The sequence below is a fragment of the Homo sapiens genome, chromosome X, assembly GCF_000001405.40.
Source record: "Homo sapiens chromosome X, GRCh38.p14 Primary Assembly".
Taxonomy (NCBI): Eukaryota; Metazoa; Chordata; class Mammalia; order Primates; family Hominidae; genus Homo; species Homo sapiens.
The window spans coordinates 139,786,178-139,807,364 of NC_000023.11; the positions used below are offsets into that span (position 1 = coordinate 139,786,178).

Sequence of the window (21,187 nt, forward strand, 5' to 3'; positions counted from 1 at the left end):
CAATGGAGAGACACAGAAGAGTTAAAATAAGAGTTGGTTATTAGAAAAAGTGAGAGGAAATATTTCCTTGAAAATAAACAACTAGTATTTTTTAAAAAAAGTATTTACTACATAGCTTGTTTTGGTGGGAGTGAGGGGGTCATTAGTCTTGCGGGAGTATATGTATAAGACATCTAACATGGCATCTGGTTTGCTGTTGGCCAGATGTGGGCACTGTTGCAGATGGGCTAGAATCTAAACTCTGACAATGACCCTGGGTCCCTGTCAGTCAGACCAAGAACCTTCCTCTGGGCTTCTATGAATCTCTCTCCAAAAGGGTGCATTACCCAAGTACCTGTAAACATATTACAGGTTTCTGAGATGGGTCTCAGGAGATCCTAGGGGCCAGAATGAAAGTCAGATAACATAATTATATTTCAAGTTCAGATGAGGAAATTCAAATTAATCACAGAGCCTAATTAAAATCCACCATTAAGATAAGGTGGCTTTGTTCATTAGGGTCTTTGTGGCAAAAGAGGAAATGTGAAGACACTGGAGCATCAGAGTACTTGCCCCGAGGCTCACACCTGAACATTCCGAACCAAACAAGGCTTCTGGTTTACAGCAAAGCTGCCTTTATTGCCTGGGCTTGCAATCCCAGAGTGATTGCTTGGACACTAGATAGCAGAAGGTTTCACATATATTCACTGATTTTTCCTGTAGCATGTGTTAGAGACCTGAAATGGCATCTAAATTTGAGAAACATTCCAGGCAAACTCTCATTCTGGCTACTGGACCCAGATGTGAACCAGATTGGAATTTCCACCTCAAACTCCAGTTTCTGCAATTCTATGTAACATGGCTTCTACCCCAACTATATTTACATAAAACTCTGAACTGGGAGAGCAGGGTCCTGTATTTTTAGTGGCATCATTTCCTTTGCTGCCCTGCCTGAATCCACTTAAATTTGACTATGGGGTTAAGAAATGACAAACATCAAACACAGAGCTACTTACTCTTCTATTTCTTTTCTTTGGTTCTCTACTCTCATATATCCATTTCGATTTCCTAAAAATGTGAACCCGTACCTATCAAAAACAATAAAAAAGACCTTGTGTATCTCTAAAGAATGATTAATTTTTTTATTATTATTTTTTTTGAGACAGAGTCTCGCTCTGTTGCCCAGGCTGGAGTGCAGTGGCGCGATCTCGGCTCACTGCAACCTTCACCTCCCAGTTTCAAGCGATTCTCCTGCCTCAACCTCCTGAGTAGCTGAGATTACAGGTGTGTGTCACCACACCCGGCTGATTTTTGTATTTTTAGTAGAGACAGAGTTTCACCATGTTGGCCAGGCTGGTCTTGAACTCCTGACCTCAGGTGATCCACCCGCCTTGGCCTCCCAAAGTGCTGGGATTACAGGCGTGAGCCACCGCACCTGGTCTAGAATGATTACTTTCAATGGGGTAACTCATGCTTGTTTATGCTTTTCTTCTCTTTCATATGATCTCAACATATAACTGTACTTTCTTTTCCTGGATAAGTTGATAACAGAGAAAGTCAATGCCCAGCCACAATTATTGTAACCAAGGGAGAGACAATTTGGGTTTCTGATTCTACGGCTAACACACTGGGTGACCTTTGAGCCACTTAATTATCTTGAACCTCATGGGTAAAACTGGACTTTCGGTTCTCAAATGATGTCAAAATTGCTGGGAGCACCTCAGAAATAACATGTGTTGTACAAAAAGTGGCCACTGTTATGTTATTTGCAAAACATAGTATGAACATTCAGACTTCTGGCTGGCATGCATAAATAGTAAGGCAAGTAATACCTACCTGTAACTATTTTCTTTTTAGTCTTAACTGGTTAGGTGTGGGAATTTTCCACAAATTTTTGGCTAAAGCAGTTGTGTTTTTTATTAAATAATAGGAGATGTATGTGCTAAGGTCACTGAAGCAAACGGAAAAAAACAAATAACTTCTGTCCTCCTGTGATTTCACTTTCTTAGGAGAAGTATAAGAAAGTATACTTTACCTTTTAGCTCCTTTCACCAAAGCTATTTCATCTGGTGAAGAGGAGATATAGGTTAATTCAGCTGATTCTGTAGCTCCATCAACAGCATCGTTTGTTTTGATTTCTACAGTATGACATAAACACAAGGCACGTAGAAACAGCTCTTCTCGATTCTGTGGAACAGCAACAAAATAATGATTATTATTTTTAATTTGATCACCCGGTAACTAGGCAGTGAACGGAGAAAATATATTAATGTGAGAGAATGTTGTAACTTCTAACAAACTTAGTAGCAGATACGTATAAATTCTTAACACTCAAATCTGCTATATATTCTCCTAGTACCTAATAAGAGTTCCTGGTTCTCAGCTAGCATACCCTATAGGCTGTGTTAACTCATTAAGGTTATTGTGGCACCACCTAAGCCAAAGCAGTGACTTCTTCATGGCCTAAAAAACTTCATTCAGTATCTAATTCACAATCTAGCAATAGCTCAAGTGTAGGGAGACTCTGGTTAATTTAATGCCTAGACACTCCTGAGACTTTAATCATTTGAACAGACATCATTCTTGGAGGAGCTTACATTTTAAAAGACAAAGCACAAAAAATTATGATCATACAGACAAGCAAGCTTTTACCCAAATGTCATTTCCCACAATTCTCTTTACTTGTAAATTCTACTCATTTACAAATTTCAGAAGTGTCAGTAAAACAAGAAAGGTGAATCCAACAATAGTTATTCTAAAGTCACTGGGCACAGTGGCTCATGCCTGTAATCCCAGCACTTTGGGGGACGGAGGGTGGTGGATTACCTGAGGTCAGGAGTTTGAGACCAGCCTGACCAACATGGTGAAACTCCGTTTCTACTAAAAATACAAAAAAATTAGCCAGGCATGGTGGCAGGCGCCTGTAATCCCAGCTACTCGGGAGGCTGAGGCAGGAGAATCGCTTGAACCTGGGAAGCGGAGGTTGCAGTGAGCTGAGATCATGCCACCGTACTCCAGCCTGGGCAACAGAGTGAGACTCCATCTCAAAAAAAAAAAACAAAAACACAAAAGTCTATGTCATGTGTCCACCTAAAAATTATTTTCTACTATGGAATGTTAACATGCATACACAGATTGGTTTCTTATATAAAACAATAATGCAAATGCACCTTATCTACTTTGTCAAAATATGTTAAAGTTCCATCAGTTTGAGATAATCCATCAACCTCTTGAGTTACACCTTTATATTTGTGGCCATCTATGCAGCATTCAATGAATTCCATGCTGTTTTCAGTGAGTGTTCCAGTCTTATCTGTAAATACATAATCCACCTAAAACAAGGACACAAACATATATTGTTAGTTTCTTCAGTGTGACTAATTTTTAGTTTGCTGTAACGCAAAGCTATTTTCATATCCATAGGAAATCACCCCTTCTAAGACTTCTTGTCAAATGTCAGGGAATTACAGAGACAATATTACCAAAGAAATGAGGAATAAATGAGTATTTTTAAAGACACCAAAATGCTATCACATGTCTAAGGTAGATCTACTCAAATGTAAAAGATGAATAGAAAAAAATGTGACTATTGGCCAGGCACGGTGGCTTATGCCTGTAGTCCCAGCACTTTGGGAGGCTGAGGCAGGAGGATTGCTTGAGCTCAGGAGTTCAAGACCAGCCTGGCCAACATGGTGAAACCCCGTCTCTACTAGAAATACAAAAATTAGCTGGGTGTGGTGGCACACACCTGAAATCCCAGCTACTTGGGAGGCTGAGGCACAAGAATTGCTTGAATCCAGGAGACAAAGGTTGCAGTGAGCTGAGATCACATCACTATACTCCAACCTGGGTGATAGAGTGAGACTCTGTCTCAGGAAAAAAAAAAAAAAGTGACTATTTTATCAAACTAAGAACGCTTCTCATTTAAGTTAACCTTTTTTAAGATAGGGTCTCACTCTGTCACTCAGGCTGGAATGCAGTAGCCATTATAGCTCACTATAACCTCAAACTTCTTGGCTCAAGCAATCCTCCCACCTCAGCCTCCCAAGTAGCTGGGACCACAGGCACGCACCACCACACCAGGCTAATTATTCTGTAATTTTTGTAGAGACAGCATCTCACTATGTTGCCCAGGCTGGTCCCATACTCCTGGGCTCAAGCCTTGGCCTCCCAAAGTGTTGGGATTATAGGCATGAGCCACCATGCCCAGCCAGTTAACCTGTTTGATGTAAAGAAGTTACATAAGTCAATTTTTCAAGTGGGAAGTAAGACTATACTGACCACTTATTTCTCTCTCTCTCTCTCACTCACACACACACACACACACACACACACACACACTCTTACACTTTGTGGGCTAGTACGTACATTACCCATTAAAAATTTTTTCCCAATAAATTAAATGGGATGTAACAAAATAAAACAGAAACTGATGAAGGTTTTTTTCCCCTTTTAAAAGTAAAATTTTCTATAAAAATACTGAATTAAAATAAAATGCACCACATCATATAATATACATAAGAATTAATAACAACATTAACAGTTACCTAATTGGAAGATACAGTATAGGTCAGTAGTGATCAAAACCATAACTGAAATTTCTTTCTTTTTACTATACATATTTTGAAAATACTCAAGTTTCCAAATTTAGAAAAAAAGCAGATAAAGTATAACACAAGTATATTTTCATAAATAATGGAAAATATAAGCCAAGAAATAAATTTGCCACTAAGATAAATCATTTTGAGCATTTCTATTTTATCTCGGTTTTTATCTCTTCTATTTTTAACATCTGGCTTTTGGAAACCCACAATTTTATCCTCGTTTTGGCAATTTATGCTTAAATAGTTAAAATTATGGGCTGATAGGAACAAGCATAAGGACAAGATTAAGGTTTTTATTATGTAAGGGAGAAAGAGATGAACTACAGCAGTAGTTGCTTTCTAATTATTTTTCAAAGCTTTTCACGGTAGCAGCACTGGCACAAATATAGCATTCCAATCTTTTTTTTTTTCTGTTAAGCCAGCCAAGTTTGAACTCTCTCTTTAAATTAATCCAAGTGGTATTACTTGTGTATCATTTAGATTCTTCCAGTTTAAATGAAATTCTTTGGGGCTTTTTTCTGATCAAAATTATTAACCTTCATTTTTCCCTGAAGGGTGTCCTGGATTATTTCATCTCCTGCACTTGGATGAGCATTAGAATCTCTTTTGTTAGTGTCAAAGATGGTAGCTTTAAAATATAAAGTACAATTTATTCACCTATTTCAAACAGTTTGGGCAGTATGAATCTGGATACGTTGAATCTCACAGGTATATGCCTATAAATTATACCCAAATGCAGTAATTATCAAACTGTAGAATGCATCACATGTACTTGGAGGTCTTGTTAAAACTCAGATCACTGCTCTATCACCAGAGTTTCTGAATCAGTCGGTCAGAGGTAGGACCAAATAATTTACACTTCTAAGTTCTCAGGTAGTGTTGATGCTGCTGGTCCTAGGATCATATTTACAGAACCACCGCCCTAATATATGATCTATACTCAGAAAAAGAAGAGGAGTAGATCGACTGTAATTAATTTAACTATTCTCATATTTAACAGAGACAAAGGAATGAAGGGGGAGGCTGCTGCTTTACTCTGACTCTCAAGCAGCCTCTCTTCTTCTTCAAGCTTGCCAAAAAGACTCCTCTGTATCAGTAAGCTCAAAGCCATCATTTGCGTGATATTGTAAAATATATTTGATAAATATATATTTGATCTTCCTTCCTGTTTCCTGACATAAAGCTCCTAAAGCCTTAGTATCTCCAAAGTGATAACAGTGTTTTTGCATGCTAATGAGATGACAAGTGGTTCGGGGCCCCTAGATAGCTTCAGGATGAGTGCAGGTCACTGGAAAGACCAAGGCATGATTACAGGGTTGGGATTTTCAGCCCCACACCTGACCTGGGGAAGGAGGAAAGAGGGGCTGAAGGTTAAGCTTAACACCAGTGGCCAATGATTTAATCAATCATCCCCACATAATGAAGCTTCCATAAACTCCCCAAAAAACTAGGTTCAAAGAGCTTCTGGATAGCTGAACACATGAAATTTCTTGAAGGATGCCTAGAAAGGTCATGGAAGCTCCATGGAAGCTCCACGCCCCTTCCCCCATACTTCACCCATCTCTTCATCTGTATCCTTTGTCATATCCTTTTATAATGAACCAGTAAACATGACTGTTTCCCTGAGTTTTATGACCTGCTCTAGTAAACTAATCAAATCCAAGGAGGGGGTCTAGTAAACTACTGGACCCCATTTTATAGCTGGTCAATCAGAAGCATACGTTACAACCTGAATTAGCAACTGGCATCTGAAGTGGGGGGCAGTCTTATGGGACTGAGCCCTCAACCTGTGAGATCTGACATGATACACTATCTCCAGGTAGGCAGTATCAAAAGTGAACTGGAGGATACCCAGCTGGTGTTTGCTGGAGAACTGCTTGCTTGGTGTGTCAGGAAAAAACTTCACATACCTTTTGTCAAAAGTGTTGAGTGGCTATGTGAGAATAATGAAAGAAAAACAGGGTCTTAGGGATAACTAACATGTAGGGGTTCCTGGAGGGTGGTGCGCCCAAGGAAGGTATGGAAGCTAAACACCCTTTCCCCTATATATCGTCCCACATGTCTCTTCATCTGTGTCCTTTGCAATATCCTTTATATGAAACTGGTGAACGTAAGTTAAGTGTTTTCCTGACTTCTGTCTGCTGCTCTAGCAAGTTAATCAAACCCAAAGAGGGGATTGTGGGTAGCCCAACTTAAAGCTGGTCGATCAGAAGTTCCGGAGGCCCAGACTTGTGACTGGTGTCTAGGAGTCATGGGGCAGTCTTGGGGACTGGGCCCTCACCCTGTGGGATCTGATGTTATCTCCAGGTAGACAGAATTGAACTAGAGGACACCCAGTTGGTGTTCACTGTTTGTCGGTGAGAGAAACTGCTCCCTCCCACATTTGGACACAGAAGTCTCTGTGTTGTTTGCTGTGAGAGCACAGTAAAAACACATTTTGGGAGTTTTCCCTGAAACACATATTAATCCCATCATACAGAAACAATCATGTTAATATTTTGAGTGGTAAAATGTGTATTTACCACTTGAACAGAAATGTAATCTCATTATGTTTGCTACGTAATCTATTTTTCTCACACACATATACATATGTATTTCCATGTCAAGAATATAGATTTACATAATAACTTTTATGGGTTAATTAGTATTTCATTGAATATAATTTCTAAAAAAAGAAAAAAGATTTTCTTTTCCTATCTCTTAGTGAGACAACTGCTGTAGGGTAGAAAAGGCTCTGAAGTATATGTTGAACATGTGAAATGATCTATTTTGTAGATCAAAAATTACCAATGGTTCAACTTAATGGAACACTTGGACTCCATCTTGGCTCCACCACCTACTAACTTTGTGACCTTAGGAAAATCTCTTTATCTCTATGAACTTCAAATATTAACCTTAACGATACCTGCTGCACAAGAATGTAAAGATTAAAAAATAAAGCTCAATAATAATGATCTATAACCTAAAAGGTGCTATATACATGGTGACTGTCACTGATGTTGACTTCACCAAAATCAAAGAACACCAGACTCTTTGCACTGCCCCACATCTTTTCTGATTGATTATGATCACATTGCTATAGTTAGGTCTGATGTGTGTGTCTCCCCAGTGATATTTTTAAAAACTTGAGGGTTTCTTGTTTACTTCATAATAATACCTAGCACACACACACATCCCAGACAGTAAAAGGTGAATAACAGCTACTGGCTTAAATTATTGGAATCAGAATATATACTCACACTATAAAGTTCCACCATTAGGCAGAGCCGCAAGATGGGAAGGCGACACAAAGAAGAGTAGCCCCACGGGTTTTTCAATATGGATTACAATCATTTGGTTGTCTAAAAGATTGATGTCTAATCATAAAAGACTGCATTATTTTCCAACTGAGCTGAGCAGTCTACTTCCTTTTGTTTCTCATGTCAAGCACTGTTCTAAACATATCTTTCTATTCTTAATCCCAGTGTGGGTCACATTAAAAGAGGTTAAGCAAATGCTTGCAATGGTATGAACAGGAATTAAATGACATTGCCTTTAGTAACATAAAAAGTTACACAGATCTTAAATTTGACTCAACAAAGAAAAAACAGGTTACACTTAATTTTGTGTGTACTGGTTTACTGAATACTAAATGGCCTAAGAAACCATTTCAAGACTTCTTTGCACTTTCATTTAGGTCGTTTCTATACATGCAAACTGATAACAATGGCAAGTTGCTTATACACTGTATTAATTGAAGTGATGGTCTGGCTATTAACTTGATTTGACTAAATGACAACCACAGCTAGAAATGCAAGGTTTGGTGGGAGAAAGGAGTGGTGACTAAAAGGAAGACTGCAGCTTCTTTTCACTCATCAAATTTACTAGATCATTACCCAAAGCTCTACTTTACTTTCTGCAGTATTAACATAGTCTAGATGATAAGAAGACTGCATTCCCATAGGTAATATGGAATCTGCTGAAATGAAGATCTGAAAGAGGTAAGAGTCTCATCAAATGGAACCTGACCCGGGCATCTTATCTGTTTTTAGTGAACATTAAGTGTCATATTCGGAATGATGGCTATTCTATTTGTAATAGTAGTTGAGGCTAGCCCCAAGCTAGTCATGCTCAACCTTGAGTAGGTTAACACATACAGCCAGGCACTAAATCCAGAACAGGCAGATTTGCTCAGCATCTAGAATGAACCACTAAATTAACTGTCAGGGAAAGGTTCACTTAAGGTGGCTTGTATACTCAAAATTTTTTCTCATGCACTCTGCAAATTGATGCCTTTTATTGAGATTAGAGCAGTTCTACTCAGATAGCTCTAACCCTGGATGAAAACTTCTGGCCTAAAAGACAATGGTCAGGTACGGCAGCCCACATTGTCAACAAAATAACCTTGTGGGAACAATATCCAAAGGAAAAGCCCTATTCTTAGTGCCTTGGTATCTACACAGGATGTAGACTCCATGGTTTCAGATACTGGTGTCCTGAAGTCAAGTCTAAACAAAATGGTATCTGGAGAGTCCTTTCTACCTTTCAACTGCAGTTGTCATGTGGGTACTTTGATTTAGGCAAAGACTATATCAAGAGTAGAAACAGAAAGCATGGACTGCGGAGAGGCCTAAAGCCAGGAAGTAAGAGTTTTGAGGTGTGAATGCAAATCAGCCCCATTTAAACAAGTGTGAGGCTCTGCTCCAGCCACACAGTTTCATTAACTGAATTTGGAAACTCCCAGTCACAAAAATGACATTTCCACAGTCTTGACATTCTAAATGTCATGAGAATAAAATGCAAGCCAAAAAATTCCTTCAGCTCACAAAGATCATTACATGACACAGAGTAAAATAAAAAAAAGGGGAAAACTTTCTCGATACTATTAAGAAAAGCACCTAAGAAATCATCACTTGAAGAATTACAGCCAGACTGTGTTGCACTGGAAAATAAATGCACCTGGGTTAGAATGGGGTCACAGTCTGGGTTACATTGGTATATAAAGAAGAATGCATTTTGAGGAGTACATGCCCTCACGTTTTCCCTTCATTGAAATTCTTGTACTGGAATAAATAACTCTGCTTGTTAGGTCTATATTCTACCTGATCAGAAATGTACCAAGAAAATGTCAATAGGACAACTCTGGTCAATTTTGCTTATGGAACAAAATACACTTATAAAAGAGCCATATTTGCTACCCCATATTCTATCCACAAATGGTTATAGATGGTGATGAAGACTGTTTCCTGTTCCAAAGCAATAGCTAATAATGTAACATCACCCAGTTCCAAGGAGAATTTCAGTAACGTTCAAATTTAATACATAAATTGTATCCTTCTCAAAAATGCCAGCAAAAGAACTGATGCTGTAACTATGAAAACACTGCTTACCTTCATTACATGCCTGCATTAAAGAATTTTCTCTGAATCACTTTTCCAAATGTGACATGGTCACATATATTGGTAATCCAGACTACACAAAAAGATATTTTCACTACGTTGACAAATTATTTTAAGTAAAACAATGCTCTAACCTGACCAAGTTCTTCATTAAGGTCTGATGTGTTAACCAGGGCTCCTTCATTAATTTCTTCATCATAAAAGTCCTTATCCCATGAGATGAAGAAGGAGCCCAAGAATTTCTGCATTTCTACTGTGACGTACATGGAGACAGGAATGATAAAGTTGAATAGAACCATAAATGATAGGAAGTCGGTGAACATTTTTAAAACCTAAAATAAAAGAGATAGTTCATGCTAATTAGACATACAATTTCATCAGACCAATATAATATAAAGGAAGAATTAATTTCATCTTTATTTCAATGCTGAAAACACTGCTCTTGCTATAAAGATGGAACTTCCTAATAACACTACATCACTGTAGTCAAAATTATCACAGTATGTGAGAACATTTAAGAACACTCTCAATTTTATCATTATTCTTCAGTATATACTACTTCTGTCAGTACTTTTTCACTTCTTTAAGTTCTCTTTGCTCACTCCACCCTAAGATAGGAATGTGAGATCAAAGTTCATATGTAAGGCATTCATTATGCTTTTATCGTGACATTTCACATACTCCTATTACATTAAAATGTCAAAGCATCTTGCCAAATTGTTTCACCTTAAATTCTTATATAAAGAGCTAAAAACAAGCATAGATGCCTAAAGTAAAAGAAAAAAAACTCTTTTTTTCTTTTCTTTTTCTTTCTTTTACAATAAAGAAAATAAAAGTTTTTTTTACAAAAAAAACTTTGTTTTTCTTTTTCTTTCTTTTACAATAAATCTTCTTAAATATTTATTGGCTTAGAGCCACCATGTAATCGAGAGAAAATTCAGAAGCTAACAAAAGGTGCCGTTTCCCTGAGCAGCATTTCAGTGAAGGTTGGCTCAGTCACAAAAAATAGTTTCAATTTTCAGCAGAAAACAAATTACCTTCAAGGTCTCTCGCTCTTTCTGAGTCTTTTGGTTATACCAAGGTTCATCATTGTATGGGGTACTTTGCCAAACATACTTTAGAGTAGTGCATACTGCAGCTTTGGTCAGTAAGATAAATAAATATACAATCAGGAAAGCATTAATAGATCTGAAAAATAAGATAGCATGGATTTTAAAACCAAAGACATCAGTCAGATATGAATTAAACTACTGAGTCATCTAAAGCTTTTTCTGTGTACGACGCGTAACTACAGCACAAGCCTTTGTGTATTAACCTCAGTTATCATAGCTGCAGCATTACTTTCAAGTGGCAAAATGGAAAAGCTGGCCATGAACTGTTTATTGACCACCAATGCTCCCCCAAGTGCAATGGCTGACTAGCTGAACACACCTTATTAAGGTTCCTGTAAAGTGACAGGAGAGGTACACACATGCACACATACACACACCATTACTTACTCAACCCTTATAGAAAGAGTATCTTGTCTCCATTTCCCTGAATCCTAAATGTTTGGGGTAGAGGGCACGGTAGCAATGTGAAATCCTCAAGCTCGGTGTAGGTTCTTTCAGTTTAAAAGTGGAGCTATGGAAAGGGTGCCAGTGATATACTGGTTATCCATGCCAAATACAGGGTGAGGTCTATAGCAGTGGCAACTGGCTTGAGGATCTACGAGGCACTGCTTCAATAGGTGCCAGGAGACTATTATCTATATTATAGAACCAACTTGCATATAGCAACTAAAGGACTCCAAACCATTAACTCCACTAGCAAAAAGGAATGAATTTACAGTTCAAGTAAACTCTGCCCTTTAATAGCTATGTGAGCTTAGGTAAGTCACATACCATCTCCAAGACCATTTCCTCATCTGTAAAGTGGAGAGGTTAACATGAATTACTTCACAGTGTTCTTCAGAGGACTAAACCAAATCAGACATACAAATCATTGAGCACAGTTTCTGGTACATAAACAAGTGCTTAAAATTGTAGTTGCTATTATAATTGATGTTGTTTTTTGTTATGCTTGTTACTTGGAATTACCAAGAAAGTAACTATTTTAATCAATAATGACTAAATAAATTGTGGCGCATACTAACTTTTCAACAGCAGAACGTTTCTGAGATTTCCCTTGGTAGTTCAAAGCCATTTTGGTTTCCATTCCAGTGTAAACAGCAACTCCTAAGAAATTACAGAATATAATAAAAACTAAGAACTTGTCAACCAACTCCTCACCCAGCTGGCTCTATGAATTTTTAAGTCTATAAAAGTGGGAAATCTAGGCCCTCTTCCACTCACCAGTTGTATATCATTTATAGGATAATTTTAATTATATATAGTATTTGTCATATTTCGTCTTAGTTTACCACGTTATAAATTCCCAACACCTAAATGTAGGTTTAAATTAAATGGCAAACCTGCCATGTTTACTTTTTAATATGCACTATTTATTCACAGCCTTTACAAAGCATATTTTTTGATAGGTGTATCTTAAAAATTGTTCACCATATATCTTCTCGGTATTTTTTAGCGTAGCTCCTTTCAGCAAGAGATTTTCAGGTCCCAAAGACCTAAATAAAAAATGAACACAGCTTATCCAAACAAGCCAATAGCATCAACAACTCTGGGGACAGATTTTGCCCTGACACACACCTATCTCCAAGGGGTTCAGAATGTTATCTGTCTACTTATACCATATGCTTACTCCCCAGGACAAGCTGAAAGGTCCTTCACTCTGAAGTTACTTGAGGGTACAGCACAGATGGAAGCACAGTACGGGAGTAGCCAGCAACACACATAGGCAAAAAAAATACATGGGGGGGGATAAAAGGATTATGAATCATGGATAGCAAGACGAGAACAGAACAGAGCAGCAGATCGCAAGACACAAAAGCAGACAGCCATCAATAAAAGACAGGGAATGCAAACGTCAAGGTGGGAAAAATATACTGACATATTTGGAGAGAATAAACCCTCCTTTTGGGGGATCACTGGGGACCCTGTATTTCTTTAACTTTTTGAGTGTGGCTGTAAAGGCCAAGTGGAAAAGTTGCGGTAATTAATATGATGATAGAAGAGGAAAGAAAGCATCCCTTTTTGTATGAACTGCTTGATAAATTGTATGAAGGCTGATACATACAATTCGTATACATAAAACAATTCGTTTTAATGAAGCCTTTCATTTTACGTAAGTCCAGGTAGTTCTTCCAGCATTTTACCCACTGCTTACTTTCTCAATTACTCTCCCACTGTTCTCCAGTTATAATTCCAATGTTGTCAGCCACTTCACAACCGAGGATAATAAATAACATGGCTAGAACAGGTTTGGGAATATAATCCAAAATGTCTGGAGCTCTGCTATTTTGGAAACCATAAGCATTACTTCTAACAGCCCCCTCCCCACAACACAGAGACCCTATCACCACAACTCTACCAATCACAAGGTTAGTTGCTTATTCACCTTTATATTCCTTTTTTTTTTTTTTTTTTTTTTTTTGAGATGGAGTCTTGCTCTTGTTGCCCAGGGTACAGTGCAATGGCTCAATCTTGGCTCACTGCGACCTTCGCCTCCCGGGTTCAAGAGATTCTCCTGCCTCAGCCTCCTGAGTAGTTGGGATTACAGATGTGTGCCACCACGCCCAGCTAAATTTGTATTTTTAATAGAGATTGGGTTTCACCCCGTTGGCCAGGCTGGCTTCAAACTCCTGACCTCAGGTGATCCACCCACCTCAGCCTCCCAAAGTGCTGGGATTACAGGCGTGAGCTACCGCACCCGGCCTATATTCCTTTCTATAATAGAAAGGTATTTGGCTATTTTAGTTGATTTAACAGAAAAATAGACCCCCCCCCCCAACCAAAGGACAAATTAAAGAAACAGCAAACTTACCTGGCAACAGCCTCAAGACTATTACTGTAGATATTGATTCGCCCAACAAATCTGTAAAAAGAACAAAATTGCAAATGTGTTTTCTACATCCAGGTGAAATCCATGTACCAGAAATATGAGAATGAATGAAAATACAAATAATAAAACAGAGATAGATAAAACTGTGAATGAACTACAAAAGCCTATTATATTTCTGGGGGAAAAAAAGTTATGTTGAATTGATAAGGTGTATAACATTTTCATATAATTTTTAAATAACATGATGGGATTATAGGAGCAGAAACAAAGGTTCTCAATTGATTTTCAAGTTCTGTTTAACATCATGCATGCACACAACACCTCTCTCTTTTATAAGTTTATATAAATAACGTAACTTCTATCTTGGATCATGTGAAGAAAGGTTTCTGGTGCTAAAATACAATTTTCAAAACCGCTAGTTCAGTAGTTCTTACACTTGAGTGTGCATCAGAATCACTGGAGCGCTAATTAAACCACAGATTTCTAGGTCCCATCCCTGAGCTTCTGATTCAGGTTCCCCAGTAATGCTGCTGCTGCTGGTCCTGAAACCACTCTTTAAACCATAGTACTAGTCTTAGACAGTGAACACTTGAATGCCATCTTGGAAATGTCCAGCCTGTGACTTGTAGTTGATCTCAATACTGAGCTTGACCCAATCACTTAATATAATAGGTGTATGGTAACCTGTATTTCTGCAAAATAAGGTAAAAATACCTAATCCCTCGTTAACATCAGTGTTTTATAATCTGCATCGTAAACAGCATTTTCCCCAGAAAATAGAAATATATATTACTCATATACACAAAATATGAAGGCTTGCTCATTCATTCATCATATATTAATTGTGCCAGTGCTATACTAAGTGCTGAAGATGTACTAATAAGCAAAAAAGAAATGGCTCCTTGCCCTATAAAAGTAAATAGGCAATTACGACGCAAGTGCTTACCACTAGAGTGATAGAAGTACAAGGTATTCCGAAGTCACACAGCAAGGAATTCAATCGTCTAAGGAAATAAGGAATAACCTTCCCTGTCCTATCATTCTCCTTCATACTTAAAGCAACTGAAAAATGTGGGGATTTCCCTATAAATATGCAAGGGTATAGATATTGTTCTCTAGCTCAGGCAGAATAAGTTACTCCCTTTTCTGTGATTCCATAGACCTTACACTCACCTCTATTATCACCTTGTATAAGCTTAGCTTTATTACTTCATCTCTTGCTCACAGTGAGTCCCTTGAAGGTAGAGAATAACTGTTACACTTTTTGGCCCTAGTTCCTATCATCAAGGTGGATACGGAAGAGGAAGGGAAAGAGGAAAGAAAAAGTGATGAGAAGGAGGGAGGTCATTGTTCTTGAAGTAGAATGAATACTTTGTTTTTCCACTACTAGGTGTTAGTGTAAACCACATCCAACCACTTGGTCACTCATTATGACTAACAGCATGCATTAACAAGATGGGTAATGGATGCCATCTGCAACGGTAGAATAGGATAAAATTAATTAGCCCACGTGGGGATAAAACCTGTTACACTACCCTGATTAGTACTATGCTCTAATCAACCCAACTAACCAGTCTTGAAATCAAACGCCAATTTTTGACAACCCACAATGACTAATAATCAGCAAACCTACTCCAGAGAGCCTAAGTATAGTAAAATAGAGGAAATTACACCATTGTACTCATCCCTTAACTGTTTACTGTGGACAAGAAAGAGCCTATTTGCAATCTTTAGTGCATCATGATCATTCTAAGAAAGGATAGAACCTACTAATTGCATGAAGAGGATATCCCCCTTCTCTCTTTAATGTTAGATGGCATGTAAAAGGATTTGTTTTTTATTTAATTAACTGGTTACTGCATCAGTCTGATAGATCAGCCTTACAGGGTAACATAATCTAAAATTTTGATATATGGCCATGTTTACAAGTAATAAAAATAAAAGAAAAATCATAAGATACCTGGGCCCACAATGATTTATTCTGGGTTGATAGTGAACAAGGCTGATTTGATTCATTTTTCTGCCAGAAGGAAGGAATCGCCCATAAAAACACAAATGAGAGTAGGCTGGTAAGTGGTGGGTGTTTCTTTTGCAATACTATTAGCAAAGAGAAGCAGAGCCAACAAACAGAAGTAAAATGAAACCAGGTGATTCTTACTTGTAGAGGTCAGGTTGAGGCTGTTCACATTCAATTGCTGCTCGGAGGGTATCGATGGATTCTGCTGTACACAGTGCAATGGTATCACGTACTGCATAATGTGTCTAGTTGAAAGCAGAAGAAAAAGTGAAAACCAAAAAAACTTTCTTTTCATAATCATACACCCAACTGATTTCAGAAACAAATTTAGTTTATGTTTTAGTAAGAGGCTTTGGCAGAATAAACAAATATTAACATTTCCCACTAATAAGTTTTATGGTATTATTATGAAAATATATTACAAATAATTAGAAAGATAACCTGCCGCAAGGAGGGTTTCAAAGACAATTAAAAACCTAAAAGCTCTTCTTGACATGGACAGCTGAGAGAATTCTATTCACAACATGCATATAATTAACTAAAACCACGTGAAAAAGTTAATACATTTATTTTTTTTCCTATTTACAGAACTGAGACTTATTATTTTGCTCACTATAGTGTATGGCAATGGAGATATACACATATGAATTGAACATAACCTTTTTGGTCACAAAAATGCTAAAATTTTGCCAACAGCAAGAAAAAAATCATTAATAGTTCCATTACACAAATAGCTTAATTAATGATCTTGAAAATGTTCAATATGGATACATTTTGTACAAGGGGCAGGGAGATGACGTGTCTTGCATTAGTCAGATAATTAGAATATTCTACTAGTGTATATTATGCACTTGATTCATCCAGAACTCAAGGCAGGCGCCAATGAACCCACTTATAAATCATCAAACAAGGGTTAAAGCAGACTCAAAGAGCGCACCACTTAGGCAGAAGGGAAAGCTGTTGTCGTCATCTTGGGGGAAATATTACGGCAATGTCTGAACTATATTTAAAACTATCTCCTGATTTTGAAAACCTCTGTACTTTTAGCTGATTTGATCAGAACAACTTAACTGAAAAAAGAAACTATCTGAAAGTTTTCTTACTCCAAACAACTTTTTCACTATCAGGAAATCTTTATGTAGATTTCTTGATTTATATCTTGACATTCCCTAAATTATAACTTTGTTTTTGAAAAGGTTAAAAGCAGGTCATTACCATGCTTTTGAAATACAGAATTAGTCATCCAACAGGTAAAGGTTCTTTTTTACATACTGAGTCGTAGTCCTCAACTCCAGATGGAATAAACAAACAGAGGAGCCCTCCAAGGACATACCCAGAGGTGAGCCACATGAGTAACCCTCCTTAAAGGCAGCATAGAGAGGATACATCTTCATGCCCTGTGGAGCTCTGGACCATGGCCAAGAAAACCGACTGTGCCAGAAAGTGTATGAGGGAAATAAGTTACCCCCATTTGGCCAAATTTACTTTAAGTCACTTGCAATTATAAATGAGTTATAATTTGTTATATGTACATAAAATGTTGCTTTATAACTTACTTATAAAGCAAACATTTTCCAAACTACACCCTATCTTTTTTTTTTTTTTTTTTTTTTTTTTTTTTTGAGATGGAGACTCACCCTGTCACCTAGGCTGGAGTGCAGTGGCGTGATCTTGGCTCACTGCAACCTCCATCTCCCGGGCTCAAGCAATTCTATTGCCTCAGCCTCCCGAGTAGCTGGAATTACAGGCGCCCACCACTATGCCCGGCTAATTTTTTTGTATTTTTAGTAGAGACAGGGTTTCACCATGTTGGCCAGGCTGGTTTCGAACTGCTGAACTCAAATGATCCGTCTACCTCAGCCTCCCAAAGTGCTAGGATTACAGGCGTGAGCCACCGCACCCAGCCCTAAGTATTATTTTTAAATAGCAATCAAATTACTCCAGGTTGGGTTTCCTACATCCCAAGAATATACATTTTTAATGAAAATATACATTTTAGAAAAAAATAGATCAAATTGTAAGGTTAGCATACATGAAGTTATTTGTATAGTCACACAGTTTAAGCCTATGATTACTCCCATTTTAGAGTCTAAATATTAAATAGGCTGTGTCAATATTAAATTCAAGCAGTGCTATAAAAATTGTGGTAGCTTTTACTTGGGGCTCAGTTTTTCCACACGTAATTACCACCCTTTTACCCAAACACGAGTGTTTGCTTAGAAGTTAAAAAACAATTACATAACAGCTCTTTTCAAATATAAAACCTAAGAAAAAATAAAAATAAGAAAAAATAAAAGATTAGAGGGTGATGGGAGGCAGTATTGTATGATTAACTATCCTGAGATCAAAATGTTTAGGCAAGGTTTAGTCTGTTACCTTGCAATTGGATTCCCCATCAAGACTGGCTGTAGTGACATAACAGGTTCCATCAGTGGTGCAAGATGATAGAAGAATAAGATCACAGGGAAAGGTTTCATCTGCCTGTACTTCTACTACATCACCAACCTGGAATTGAGAAATAAATATAAATATTTTAAATTCCAAACAAAGCATTCATTACACTCATACAAAAGTCAAAACATTAGCAAGAGATTATCTCTAGCTCTGGGGCTTTGAGAGTATCTCAGCATCCTACATCATGTGAAAGGTGATGAAAGAATATTACTCAATATTCAGAATCCTCTTTAAGGTTAGAAGGACTTAGGATGCTTTCAGATTACCTTAGCACTGACCTTTACCTTTAATAAATGATTCTGACATCCGTTTGCTCTCTGATATTTCTTGCACAAATGTTTGATAAGACAATGACATTATCACTTCATGAATGAATCAAGAAAATCTACAACATGTCACAAACTGGGCACTTCATGAACACTGAACAGCCACACTCCCACTCTGTACCACGCATACTTCAACATACTTTGCCTGCCATGTGGTAACAACTGTGTTGTTGGGTGCCAGGTCCTTCTTCAGTGCTCAGAAAATCCCAGTTAATTAGAGAGGCATTGATTTTTCCCAAAATATTTGAATTTTTTTTTTCTATAGGTCACTTTCTATGAATTCATCTGCTGTCAGGAGAATCACTTAATATAGCAATGAGAAACAATTTCTTATCAGCAAGTACCCAAAGCTCAAGGAAAGGAAAAACCTGAGAGAAGAAATCATGAATAATTTAATAATGTAGGGTTAAGTAAATCATAACCATTAAAAGTTTGGACTCTTTAACCTGACTTCTCATCCCAGCTCTGCCACTTAACTATATGACCTTAAATAAGTGTCTTAGACGATTGCAACTACCTCAGAGAATTAATGTGAGCATGAAATGATGATACAAGAAAAGTACTGAGCAAAGTGCCTGGCACATATTAACTACTTCAAAGGTGTTAATTATAATTATTACTAACATCCTGCAACTACTTTACTCCCAACTTATGAAGAGTCATAACATTTTTTTGGAAAGATATAAGAAATCCTCCAGTCTGGTCCTTCCCAAGATTTTCACACCATGGTACATATTGAAAATTATAAATAATACTTTTGTACAGCACCTTCAGGTAAAGGGAAGAGGCTGCTGGATGCAGAAGATAACCCACTTTAGAAGGGAGTCAATATTTGGCACACTGACCTAGACACACTGACTGTGAAATGCTAGGTAATACATGCAACACCCAACTTCTATTTGCAATATGATTCGGCAGATAAAGATGAGGATTTCAAGACCTATTCAGGAAGAATTTTATTTTCTTTGCCAATCTTAATCACTAGCCAAGATCAACAGCATCAATAATTGAACTAACTTGTAAATAATATTTTATTTTGTTGGATTGTTCCTTCCTCACTTACATAAACACTTATGTTGCTTACACAAAACCACAATTTATGCTTAAATATGCAGAAGAGAGATAACAAACAGAATCCTAACACATCTTACAAGAAGGAGATACCCATTAGAGGTCGGAAGATGACTCTCAGGCATTGATAAATAAAACACACAAAGAGAGCATTTTTTCAACAGTTAGGATGTAGTCAGATATGAAATATAAAGGCCCCTATATCTGCAGTGCAAGCTCAGACTGACAAGATGGGTATGAGTCAGATCACAAAGGGCTTAGCAGGCCAGCCTAAGGGATTTAGGCCTCACTCTAAAGGTAAAAGGATAGGTACAGGACTTTTAAAGACAGGGAATAACATGATCTAGTTAGACAATGAACTCTAGAGGTCTATTTACCATTTTAAAAGCCACAAGAGAACATCACCACCTCCCATTACAAACATTAGGAAAAAATGGATAATCTAAAAACAAATACGTATTTTTTAGTCCATCAGAGAGCTGAGGTTGCAAAGCAACCAAGTGAACTGAATTTCAAAGGGTAACAAGTGTTTCTGAGGAGAGACAGGACAGATGAACTGTTTCATAACTGACCAAGCATAGAAGGAAGAGATGGCTACCATGAAAGTGGGTAAGAAGAAAACAACTAGATTTTTAACCAATTCCTAAAGACTGGGTGTGAGCTAGTATGACAGTTCAGAATCTCTACAAGCCTGAGAGACAAGAAGAGACCACAACCATTCACCAGCTCTTCTCTAGAGGCTTCTACTGAGTGTTCATGAGAAAGCATACAGGCAGGAGACCTAAAAGAACCTTTCTCACTGGCACGGGCATACAGGTGGTGACTGCTGTGAAGAAATAGGCACAAAAAAACCATGCCAGAATCATAGACCCCTTTCTCATATTAAGCAAATGTCATCTGCATCTAGGAGAAAGGCAGGAAACCTTCCCTGGCATAGTCTCAGGGAAACATCACTACTGTTAGAGGAGAGGTAGAAACAAAAGTGACCTGCTACAGGGGATGGGACCTGCTACAGGGAATTGGACAGGAAACCTATCATACCAATAACCTGGTGCTGATACAAGGTAGAAGTTCAGTTACTATGAGGGGGGAGGATATTGAGAAAGTCTTACCCTGAGGCTTTGGTGCATATGGCCTGCTTAATATTGTGATTGGAATGAGAAAACCAAGAAATCATTCTGTTCCTGCCAAGAGCCTTACACTGAGTAACAAACAAGAAATAGCAGTCTACCACTGGAGAAAAGGCAAGGGAACGTGGGGCGGGGAGGGGCAACCTCTGGGACTCGGGAATATAGGATGTTGCTGAAAGCAGATAGTATAACAGGAACACCATAAAAAACTCTCCGGCACACCAGGCCCCACACAAAGCTCAAGGTAATGGCATTCTACCACTTAAGGAATTTGAAGTTAAGTGACACA

General features: G+C 37.8%; 1 protein-coding gene across 21 annotated transcripts in view; it reads right to left on the reverse strand.

Annotated features, from left to right (window-relative positions):
* Positions 1–21,187, reverse strand: part of ATP11C (ATPase phospholipid transporting 11C (ATP11C blood group)) — a 210,556-nt gene that overhangs the window by 59,830 nt on the left and 129,539 nt on the right. For 17 of the 21 annotated variants that reach the window (XM_047442018.1, XM_047442024.1, NM_001353810.2 and 14 more), the window contains 10 exons: positions 18,294–18,422; positions 16,059–16,162; positions 13,883–13,933; positions 12,502–12,566; positions 12,096–12,177; positions 10,999–11,149; positions 10,096–10,293; positions 3,150–3,311; positions 2,015–2,166; positions 996–1,067 (listed from right to left, as the gene is read on the reverse strand). In XM_047442018.1, coding sequence (XP_047297974.1) covers positions 996–1,067; positions 2,015–2,166; positions 3,150–3,311; positions 10,096–10,293; positions 10,999–11,149; positions 12,096–12,177; positions 12,502–12,566; positions 13,883–13,933; positions 16,059–16,162; positions 18,294–18,422 — 1,166 coding nt within the window. The remainder of the gene's footprint in view (positions 1–995; positions 1,068–2,014; positions 2,167–3,149; positions 3,312–10,095; positions 10,294–10,998; positions 11,150–12,095; positions 12,178–12,501; positions 12,567–13,882; positions 13,934–16,058; positions 16,163–18,293; positions 18,423–21,187) is intronic. The other 4 variants (XM_047442028.1, XM_047442027.1, XM_047442026.1 and 1 more) reach the window with 1 other exon arrangement.